Genomic DNA, 12,612 nt, shown 5'->3' on the forward strand with positions numbered 1-12,612 from the left:
GTTTTTAAAATAAAAATATAGAGTAATAATGGATCTTCATTCCTACATTGCAGCGATTGGCTGGACCTAAGTAAAAGCTAATACTATTTATATTGGGAAGGCTTATCCTAGTTGCCTACACTCCTCTCTCTCCACAAGTACTTCACATTTTACTGCTGAACCATGTCACTCATATGCATTACTTGCATGACTCTAGACATTTGAGGAACATGTAACATCTGATCCAGAGGAAAGGGAGCCAAGCTATACAATTTTGATATTTCTCCTCTTAATGGTGTGATTATCTTTGAGGTGGAGAGAAATACTTTAAGCATTTTCCATTCTGTTAGAAAAAGAAAACACAAAAACAAAACCCCCAAATTTTTATCACTAAATACAGCTTTCTTAGCTTGATGTTATTAAATTTTTACTTATCTGATCTCCTACTGTCTATTTTGATAATCAGAGAACAACAATCTGATTTCTATATTTGTCTATGTGTAAGGAGGAAATGTGCTCAAATATGTATTTTGTTTATTTCTTGTCTCCGTAAAAGTGAATTAATGACAGCATATTCATAACATGCTTGGTGTTACTTGACTATGTGAGAGATTTTGCTGATTTCCACACAAAATTCCATCTCAAGTAATATTTACCTTTTTTATTGTGAATTAAAAATTAGTAATGTTAATATTGTCATCAGTATCAATTTATCGTGTATTTTATTAGTGTGATCCTGTCTCTCAAGGTCTGGTTATACCCAAGGTTATGGTTTTACCTGAACACTTGCAGTGTAGAGCCAAAACTAATGAATTTTAGGTGACAGCAGTATTACTTCTTAACATGTCCCTACAGATTTCTGTAGTATTCACAATGGAGTTAAATCATTTGAAGATGAGGAAAGAAAACTTTACCTTGTTTCCATGTTGAGAACATAAGATGTTGTGGAAGACTGACTGACACAATGTCTTGTATGGTTCATGTTGTGTATGTACCCCATTTCTGGTATGACTTTGTAACCTCTCCCATCAAGAAGTGAAATCTGTTCCCCACTCATGAGTTCAAGCTGACTTTTTAATATGTTTGCACCAAAAGAATGCAGTAGAACTGACAGCCTACAATTTTAAGCCTAAGACTCAAGAGTCATTTTATACTTCAACTCTCCCTTGTGAAACCCTTCCCTGACTGCCATGGGAACAGACCAAGGCATTTTTGGTAGAGGTACAGAGTTTACATGAAGTGAGGTCCTAATCATTTTAGCCAAGATCATTCTAGAGCAGCCAGCCTTTAGACAACCCAATAGCTGACTAGAAACACATTAGTAAGCTGTGTAAGATGAGTCAAGTCCAGCCCAGATTGAATTACCAGGTTCAGTGGAATTACCCACGCAACCTATAGACTCATGGGGCAAACTGTTGTAAGCTATTAAGTCAGTAGTTTTCAAAGTGTGAATTGGGGTCTCCTGGGGATCCCAAGCAACTTTCGAGAACAACTGCAAGATCAAACTTATTTCCACAATGATACTAAGATATTATTTGTCTTAATTCTCATTCTGTCACAATACACAGTGAAGGTTTTCAAAGGCTACATGATGTTTGATATCAAAATAGAGTGGATACAGTAGCAGGTATGACACTCCAGCAGTCTTCTATTGAGTTTTCTATTGAATCATACACGAAAGAAATTAGCGAAAATACAAAGCACTGCTAAACTTCTCATTAATTTTTGTTTTGTTTAAAAAATGCAGTTATTTTTCATAAAAATATACTATCTCTGTTACAGGTAATCGGTTTATTCTTAGTGGTAGAGGAAATAAATATTTTAAAATTTATATTTTAGTTTACAATACAGCAAATATTAATAGATGAAAATCGCCAAAACAAAGCCCTTTGGAGTCCTTAATGATTCTCAAGAAACTGATATTCTGAAAGCAAAATGTTTAAGAACTGCTGCACTTTTTTTCTGCAACATTTCTTTATTCTAGGCATAGCAGTTGTTTATAAAGATAAATCACTATAATTTTTTCTTCGTGACTGTCCGCAAAATGTAAAGAATCAAGTATTAGCATCTTTAGAAATCAAAAACATTTACTTTTCTGCTTCAAGACTGCATATTGGATCTATCTAACCAGAGTAAAGTTACTGATGAAAAACAATTAAAATAAAATTACATACACACACATGTGTATGTACATTATAAGAATCTTTCATTTTGCATGAAAGAAAAAATTCTACAAATACTATGATAATAATAAAAACAGAAACCCTGAGAGGTGAAGTAATCACCAAAGCCAGCTTCCTGTGTGAAAATTCCTACCAAACCTTAGAATGTTTGAGATTACATTTTGACTGCTTCATGATGAACAGAATGCAGGAGATAAACCTTGTGGCCCACCCATAGTGGAAAGTATAATAGCAAATGCTCTCCCTCATAAAATAAGAAACAAACCTCATGGCGAAAAAGGGTCTAAAAAGAAATATTCATTCCTGAGTGCTGCCTGGAGAAAATAAAAGCAAAACTAAGAACTTATCCTTATTAAAGATCTGAGATCTGAATGAATTCATGCTATTTGTTTGCTCAAAAACCAAAAGCAAAGCAGTTAGTATAAAATTGGTCTTGGGTTGATATTGCCCCTTAGTGATTGGCAGGAGCAAAAAATTTAAGAGTAGAACTTCAAGTCTCGCCTCAAAGAATTTTCATAAATAACATTTTATGTGTGTGCAATCATAGTTAAAACAACAGCAAAAACACACACGGAAAATAATAGTCCATGAATGAAATTGATCATGAACAACACAGAGTGTAAATAGAATCACAAATAAAATAGAAACTTGGATTGAACATAAGAACAAGAAAAAAAAAGATGACTAAATTTTTAAAAGACTCAAACAGAATTTCTTAACACAAATGGAATACTCTGTCACCATAAAGAAGAACAAAATCGCGTCCTTTGCAGCAACATGGATGCTGCTGGAGGCCATTATCCTAAGTGAATTAACAAAGGAACAGAAAACCAAATACTCCGTGTTTTCAGTTATAAGTGGGGGCTAAACACTGAGTACACATGGACCTAAAGATATCAGCAACAGACACCAGGGACTACTAGAGCAGAGAGTGTGGGAGGGAGGGAGTGAGGGTTGAAAAACTACTAAATCGGGTACTATGCTTGCTACCTGAGTGAATGTGATCATTCATATACCAAACGACAGTGAAACACAGTTCACCCATGTAACAGACCTGCACATGTACATCATGAACCTAAAGTCATATTTGAAAAAATATGAATAAAAATTAGAATATTAAAAAAGATTAAATGAAAATATATCAGCTATGCAGATAAAATCAGTGAACTGGATATAGATTCAAAGTAATAAATAATGAAATGATGTGAAAAAAGGAAGAGATATGGAAAATAAATAAATGGAAGATATTACATTAAAGGAGATGCTGACTGAGGAGTTCCAGAATTGCTGGAAACATCTATTGACAGTTTCAAGAAGGCTAACAAATCTAGAGTGGGATACATAATATATCCAGTCATATTACAACCAGTTTTAGATCACTAAAGATTAAGAGAAGACTTTAAAAGCAGCAAGAAGAAATGCAAATTACCCAGACAGGTGTAACAACTGTCTGAGTTGTTACAATGAAAACAATTGAGTTTTCATTAATAAATGGAATCCAGGAAGCAATATAATAAACTATTCAGTGGTGCAAGCAAAATTACTGACAATCTAGATTCACAATGGGGGAAATTATTTTTCAAGAGTAAGAGTAAAATAAAAATACTTTCAGACAAAGAAAACTTGACAATTCTTTACTAAAGGAAATGATACAGTATATACTTTTAGCAGATAGACAAGGTGTAAAGTCTGATAAGAAATGGTGGGAAAAAGTAGTAAATGTGTGAGTAAATCTCATATAATTAACTTATAATACAATAATAAAAATTGCTAACTCTTGGAATAATAAAGAAGATAGAGCAAAACTACTCATTAACACAACAATCTGGAGGGCTTGTGAGAATTGTAAGATTCTAATGTTCTTGTATTTTAGGAGAAAGTTACCAATATTAATTACCATCCTCTCTGTGTGTGCGCCTGTGTGTGTGTGTGTGTGTACCTGCACAAGTGTGTGCACTCTCTGAGAGATGCCTTAATTGTATTAGTTGTATTAGAATGTTTTGCTGTTGTTCTCTAACTTGATTTTCTTATATGGTTAACACATTTCCAAGTTTTAATCAAAGTATCACGTTACATGGCTTGTACTCAGAAATGTTCAAGAAATGTTGTTAAGAGTTTATCATGAAAACAACACTATTGAAGAAATAACATAAAACTGATGAGAAAATATTTTCAATTTAGGCATGTGTAGCTACTCCAGGACAATTTTACTTATTAAATATTTTTGATAATACATTTAAAAAGTGTAGTACCTTAGAATACTACCATGAATGACATAGAATCTCACCTTAAGAAAGACGCTGTCATAATCTGTGCTGTACAGAAACCGTTGATACCCTGGAAAAAAGAAAGTCTAATATTACTAATACAACCCACTGGTTTCTTGCTGATAAAAGTAAAATAAAAAGTATTCTCTGTAATAACTTGCCATTTTCCATCTAACTGCATTAGGATCATATTTATAAAATCTTTCTAAATTGACAGAAAAATATAGACCAAATATTTTAACATAATTTATCTGTGTATGCATGTCACAGAATAGACATACCTTTGTATTAAGTTAAATTTTTCATTTAAAGTATCAAATTAAATATTTGAATTATATATAACATAATATAGAGATACACACATATAAGTCTCTTTTAATATTACTATTGACGTCTGTTAGTAAATAAATATATTTTATAATATTCCACTTAAGCATAAAGTTATTTTCCTTAAGAAAGTACTTCAGTCCGTATCACTGAACTTCACTTCACCAAAAAGGTGCACAGGCTAGTCTGTTACACATTTATCCATGTTATTGATTTTTCCATCACATATAAAAGGTTACAACATTCAAGAGATTGTTCCTGTTACAACAGTATAAATTCATTGCCTGGAACACAGTTTGCTATTGAATGTCTGCCAGACTGTGTTAACAAGGGTATTCAGAAGAAAACTGTGAAGGTATAAAACAATAAATAAGCGAATAAAATTCTCTAAAGATAACATGCCTTTAAAATTATGTGTATTTTCTTTAAGCAAAGGTAGTTTGAGAAAATAAATATATTCTTATTTTGTATTATCTTTTCCCACTATACATAAACACATATTTATATTTTTAAAAACTCAGTGCTACTTTGGGCTATTTAAGTAACTCTAAGTAGAACCAATTATGTTGTTTTTCAAAGTTTGGTGTTATGTAAACATTATTCTTTCAGACAAGAGTCAACTGTGAACATTTATATACTCTTGAGGCACAGATTCCTCCAGCTCTCCTGATATCTCCATCAGCATTTCTCTCTCTACTTAAATGTGCCGTGGTCAGCTTCTGTGGTCAACAACACCTCCATTGGAATTTCCACATTTTTCCTCTTTGTCTTCTTCCGTAGCTTCCACAGACAGCAAGAATAGTTGCAATTGGAGACTGACATTTTGAAACAGTAGTAGGTATTTTGGGATTCTCATGTCACATAAACTCATTTTTTAACATGAAGTTATCTTCACAGCCAGTTAGTCATATCACAGAACACAGAGGCTAGGACCTAAAACCAGATTTCATTCACTGGCATGGAGCAGAAGAAAAGCAGAACTTAAAGAGACCCAACTATAGATCCCAAGAAATTTGTTATTCAGAAGGCTGTAGCAACAATCGGTTGAATCCCATGCAAGCATTGTGTATTTGGTCACAGCAAGGTGTTTGGTTTATGGAGTTTATGTTTTCAATATTATACATTTGAAACATCGATGAAGAGAATCTAAACATTAGAGGTGATCACCAGATGATCAGGCAACCAGGAAAAACAGCATTGGTTTTGAAAATATTATAACAATGTTCACGACCAGAACTCTTGTAATTGGTCTTTTGACTGTACTTACTAGTGATGTACCTTTAAATATAATTCAGGATACATTTTAACAGGATCTGATTTTTTACAACTAGTTCATGAATTTTGTGAAAGACTGATGAACAAAATGGAATTGCTTATTCATCTTTGTATGGCTATCATCAACTAGAAACTTTAACACACTGTAGGCACAGGACTTTAGAATCCCATTAGTGATTTATGAAGTTTATATTTGGCTGATAATTTCTCATAGACACTGATGAAAAATATCATGTACCTGAGAAGAGATATATATATTAAGCCAGATATTCAATTAAATAAAAAGTAATTAAGCAAAGATAATTTCATCTGGTTAAATTAAATTATATATTATTTTTGTAAATATTTTGTTATCAAATCAAAATAATTATGTGTTCTATTTAGGTAGAAAAAGAGTATGAATGAAAATGAATATTTTAGTTTTCTAATTATTAATATTTAACAAATTAGGTGGTATCTTCAATGTGAATAATAGAATTGTACTAGATATATAGTATTAGTACTATATATCTAATTAGTATTAGATAGAATTATAATAGATATAATTTAGTTGATTTTGGATCCATTTTTGTGTGACTGTCTCCTTTCTGAAGCATTATTGTTAAAATGGTTAGTTTTTTGTACTATTGCTCTATAGCATGATGAAAAATATTTTGAGTCAAGTTGCAAATAATTGTGCTAGCATAAAATATTTCAAAGAGTTTTTAAAACAATTGGAGATATGTTTCATGTAGAATTTTCTATAAATTGGCTAATAGAAGTATTTTATTATTTTCAAGAAATTTCTAATATTCAAATATCTCATAGATACTTAAATATATGTTCCTAAATATATGTAATATAATACAATGAATCAGGTTGCCATAATAAGATAATTATACATTTTTATCATTTTTAGATTTTATAAATGTAAACTTTGTTTCTGTGTAAAATGAAAATACATGTTTAAAAAATTTCAGATTAATGGTAATTGATTTGCTGCCTCAAAAAGAGGGCCCCAAATTTTTTCATTAAAAAAAAGAAAGGTAAGTGACCAAGCCTTCTACAGAGATAGTAATCTAAAAATTATTGTTGATTTGTAATGGTTACAGAAAAGTTTTCAAGATAACAAAACCTAACAAGTGAAAGTGAAATTCTACATTAATATATATTTTGAATACACATTCAATAAATTTCTAATTTTGAGATAAACAAATTATTTCAATCATATAAATGTCAGGTATTGCTAAATTGTATGTTCTATTAAATAATAAGAAATGCATACTTCCTGTATTATTCTCATAAAAGCAGTTTCCTTCATGAGCACATGAACAGCTTCAAGAATCAAATTGACCACACTACATCACTCAGCAAAATGTATTGCAGATTGGGAACACAAAACATGAAAGAAAATGAAAGACAGAAAGATAATCTTTCCCTCAAATCTATGCTCACCTGAATCTTAAATCATGTATTATTTTCCCTTTATATAGTTCTTGATGGGAATCTTACAGAAAAAAAAATGGGTTAAACTGACAATTCTTCACTGTCAAGAGAAACCTATGGTCAGGGATATATATAATTCCCAAAGCTTTCATCATTAATATTTTATGAATCTTGCTGATCTGTCCCATCTGGAAGAAAAATATATCTTTCATTTGTGCAAGCGGTGCCTGCCAAGTAATAGGTTTCATCTCTATAAGCTGAGTGGTGAAATGCAAACGGCAGCAAAGGTACTAGGAGGCAAAGTGTTCACTTTATTTATTTTACTGGAGTCTGGCTGCACTTTATTGGAGTTGCAGAGTCAGCCAAGCAAAGCGAAAGATCTTTGGGGAAGTACGAGTGTCAATTCCTTGCCAATATACCTCAGCCTACACATGTGAATGCCCACGTGTTCAATCTGACTTTTAAATGAGGTGATTAGCCACGGTGACTTTTTTTTTTTAACATAAATATATACAAGAAGCTTTGGTGACTGGAACATTGGAAAACCATTAGCTGAGTATTTGACTTTGTGTGTGTGTGTGTGTGTAGATGAGATGACTAAGAGACAAATTAATAATTTTTGGACACTTCTAACTTAAAAGGCAGGATGTTCTGTCCCTTGGTTGGGCATGACTTGCCTTAGCTGAACTAAGAATTTTGTGTAGGCTCATCTATGACACTGGAGCTGAGTATCCCCTGGGCAGTATTCAAACACAGAAGAGCAAACAGAGAAAGTGTTCTAAGACCCCCTTTCCAAGACATAAACACAGGGCATAATCTCTATAATACTGGTCTGGAAAATGACTTTTTGGGGGAGATTAAGACCCCAAAAGCATAGAAACCAAAGCAAAAAATAGACAAATGGGATTATATCAAATTAGAAAGCTCTAAACAGCAAGAGAAACAATGGATAAAACAAAAAGATAGCCTGCAAAATGGCAGAAAAAATTGTAACCGTGTATCTCCTAAGTTACTATTCTAAATGTATAAGGAACTCAAACAAACTATTAGCAAGAAAACAAATGGTCCAATTAAAAATGGGCCAAGTACAGGAATAAACATTTCTCAAAAGAAGACCAACAGGTATATACATAAAATGACCAACAGGTATATACATAAAAAATGCTCAGCCTCACTCATTACCAGAGAAATGCAAGTAAAATTCATGATGAGTTATCACCTGACCTGTTAGAATGGCCACCATAAAAAAAGATGAAAAATAAGTGTTAGGGAGGATATGGAGAAAAAGGAAACCCCGTGTACACTGATGGTGGGGATGTAAATTAGTACAGCCGCTATGGAAAACAGTATGATAGTTTCTCAAAAATTGAAAAAAAGAACTACCTTATGATCTAGCCATCCCACTACTGGTTACATAATCAAATGAAATGAAATCAGTATGTCAAAGAGATACCTGCACTCCCATGTTTATTGCAGCACTCTTCATAATAGCCAAGATATGGAGTCAACCCAAGTGTCCAGCAATGGATAAATGGATAAAGAAAAACTATTCAGTCTTAAAAACAAGGGAATCCTGTAATTTGCCACATCATGGATGAACCCAGAGGATATTGTGCTAAGTGAATTAAACCAAGCACAAAGAGACAGATATCACATGTTCTCACTAGTATGTGGGAGTTATTATAAAAAAGCTGAACTGATAAAAGTAAAGGACAGTAGGATAGTAGTTACCAGGGGCTGGAATGGAGGTGTGGAGATAGAAAGATGTTCTTTGAAGGTTATACAATTTCAATTAGATAGGTGAAATAAGTTCAAGAGATCTATTGTACAACAGTTCAGTGACTATAGTTAATAACAGCATATTGTATACTTGAAAATTGCTAAGACTGAAAAATGATAAGCATTTGAAGTAATGCATATGTTAATTAGCTCAATTTAGCCATTCCACAATGTATATATATTTTAAAACATCATGTTTTACAAGATAAATATATCCATCATTTATTTATCAATTAAAAATAATGAATAAATTAGCTTAAAAAAACAAAATAAAACAATGACAACAAAAGCCAGAAACACAGTGGGTTTCTGTCTGTTAGGTTTATCTAGTTCATAGGTCCACCATGAGTGAAGTGTGGGCCTCTCATTTGGATGAAAATAATTTCTGTAGTAATGTATTTAGTGCATAATCAGAAAAAACATCTCGGTTTTAAAGGAGAATTTTCCTTCACTAAAAAATCTAAAATTTAAAACTCCTTGAAACGGTTTCCCTTTTCTTCAGCAAACTTATTTCAATTTTTAATGAAATATTAAGGACTGTGATTATTTAACATCTTTCTGATCTTTTAGAACATAAGACCCTTTCTATTTTGTGCAAAATTGTATCCCCAGAGTCTTGCACACTGTTGACAAGCAGTAAATATTCAGTAAGTTTTTGTTGAAAGATTTGCATATTTTTCATTTTTATCAGTAGCTTCCAACATGTTCTAACATCATAAGCCTCAACAAGGCTTGGGGTAAGAGTGATGATTTATTCAAACTACAGCTACTAATCATAAATTTACATAAAGCACTGTGTTAGAAATTGAGTGATACTAAAATGCCTAAGATTAATTTCTGGGCTTCAGGGAGTTAACCGTCTAGTTGAGGGAATAAGATATATGTGTAAAAATAATGCCAAATGTGAAATATTAAGTGACTAGAGAATATATGAGCTGAAATTGTACATTAGACAAAAGAAATAAAAGGACATTCCTGATAATGAGAACCACATGAGTAAATACATTAATATCAAAAGTCTCTAAACCATAAATCATATAAGTGATGTTGAGGATGATGGAGCTTAGAATGACTGACAAAAGAACACTATCCCTGTCTATAAGAATTATCTAATCCCTGATCTTTAATTGATTTGTCTATTTACTCTTTGTCATAGAAAAGCATGTGATTTCCATGTATGCAAAGGATCAACACTGGATACACATGTTAATATAATATTACCACAAACATATAAGGGTTTTTTTTTTCTGACACTCAACTGGCAGCTGGGTGCTTCAAACTTTTTAAATCTTTACCATCCTAAAATGGGTGAGGGTAAAGGGAGAATAGTATCTTGTTTTCATTTGATCTTTACTTATGATTCAAGTATCTTTTCACGTCTTCATTCTCTCTTTCAGCCTCAGCTCTTTTTTCATTCCCCTGTTATCCAGTTCATTTGCCTGACTCCTTGGCATCAGCTTCCAGGCTATGCAATCACAAGTGGAGCATATATTCATTTTCAGAGAAAAGTAGCCATTCATTGACACTCTCTAGCTAAGTAAAATACTTGCTAGTTGTTACTCTTCAATGGCTTGACTATACCACTAGTTTCAACAAGTTAAAAAAAATTATTCCAGGCATTCTTCTGGATAATTTTAATGAGTTCTGTACTCACTAAAGCCTTTACTTTGCCATTAACTTGTTAGCTCTATTATGAGCTAAACTTTATGTCAGTTTGAGAAAACTATTATTTGAGCTTATAAAGCATGCAGTATGTGAAATGAGTGATCTATTTATTTTTATTTTTTAATTATACTTTACGTTCTAGGGTACACGTGCACAACGTGCAGGTTTGTTACATATGTATACATGTGCCATGTTGGTTTGCTTCACCCATTAACTTGTCATGTACGTTAGGCATTTCTCCTAATGCTATCCCTCCTCCACTCCTCCACCCCCTTAAGGCCCCAGTGTGTGATATTCCCCACCCTGTGTCCAAGTGTTCTCATTGTTCAATTCCCACCTATGAGTGAGAACATGCAGTGTTTGGTTTTCTGTTCTTGTGGTAGTTTGCTCAGAATGATGGTTTCCAGCTGTATCTATGTCCCTGCAAAGCACATGAACTCATCCTTTTTTATGGCTGCATAGTATTCCTTGGTGTATATGTGCCACATTTTCTTAATCCAGTCTATCATTGATGGACATTTGGGCTGGTTCCAGGTCTTTGCCATTGTGAATAGTGCTGCAATAAACATACGTGTGCATGTGTCTTTATAGTAGCATTATTTATAATCCGTTGGGTATATACCCAGTAATAGGATCGCTGGATCAAATGGTATTTCTAGTTCTAGATCCTTGAGGAATCACCACACTGTCTTCCACAATGGTTGAACTAATTTACACTCCCAACAGTGTAAAAGCATTCCTATTTCTCCACATCCTCTCCAGCATCTGTTGTTTCCTAACTTTTTAATGAATGAATGATCTATTTAAAGTGATAATATAAAAATTTAAAGTTAAGTAGGAAAATAAACATACTAATATTGGAGAAAATATTTCTGTATTTCCTTGATTTTAAAATCAAAGTAATTTTCTTTAAAGCTAATATCAAACTAGTTGAACTTATATTAATTTTATTTAAAAAAATTTCTTTTATATCCTTTAGACCTCAAAATTTTTGAAATTTGCAGATTCCATAATAATGTATTTCTAAAATTATGTAAACTCTTTTACTAATTATTATTATTTTCTTTTTTAGAGACAGGGTCTAGCTCTGTGGTTCAGGCTGGAGCACAGTGGCACAATCATGGCTCACTGCATCCTCAAATTCCTGGGCTGTTATAGTATCTACCGTTTTGGTCTTTTCAGTACATTTCTATCCAATTATGTAAGTGAATGAAACTCTGCTGCCAAAAGGAAATTCTGGTCAGATCCCTCTTTTTTCTGATCCCTTTATTGGTTTCTCATTGTTTGAATAAATACATTTCTTAGCCATATATTTTACTCCCACCAATAATTCTATCCTGCAACTACACTGAACTACCTGCTATTTTCCAAACACATTTCATGTGAGCTTTCATGCTTCAGTGACTTTGAACATATATTCCATTTTCCTAGACAATACTTTGATTAACTGTCACCTCTGCAGGAATGGCTGTGACCCCTATAGCAATATTGGTCTCTCTCTCTTCTTGGGACTTCAATTAGAGGACTAAGTCCATCTTACTGCAATCTTTGTGTGAATGTCAGTATCTACCCAACGCTGTAACCTCAAGGGCAGAAATCATAGCATGCCATTTTTGTGTTTGGAATACAGTAGATCTTCAATAATTGTTTGCTAAATGACTAGTATAATAAATTCATATAAGATTTTCCCACTAATTGGAGCTTTTAAGGGA

At 32.7% G+C, this 12,612-nt stretch overlaps 1 protein-coding gene across 11 annotated transcripts in view; it reads right to left on the minus strand.

Annotated features, from left to right (window-relative positions):
* Nucleotides 1-12,612, minus strand: part of MGAT4C (MGAT4 family member C) — an 883,334-nt gene that overhangs the window by 89,558 nt on the left and 781,164 nt on the right. For all 11 annotated transcript variants that reach the window (NR_147093.3, NM_013244.5, NM_001351286.2 and 8 more), the window contains one exon: nucleotides 4,450-4,499. Coding sequence is in view for 1 of the 11 variants with exons in the window: in NM_001351282.2 (NP_001338211.1) it covers nucleotides 4,450-4,469 (20 nt within the window). In the remaining 10 variants the exon portion in view is untranslated. The remainder of the gene's footprint in view (nucleotides 1-4,449; nucleotides 4,500-12,612) is intronic.

The sequence above is a fragment of the Homo sapiens genome, chromosome 12, assembly GCF_000001405.40.
Source record: "Homo sapiens chromosome 12, GRCh38.p14 Primary Assembly".
In the NCBI taxonomy this organism is placed as follows: domain Eukaryota; kingdom Metazoa; phylum Chordata; class Mammalia; order Primates; family Hominidae; genus Homo; species Homo sapiens.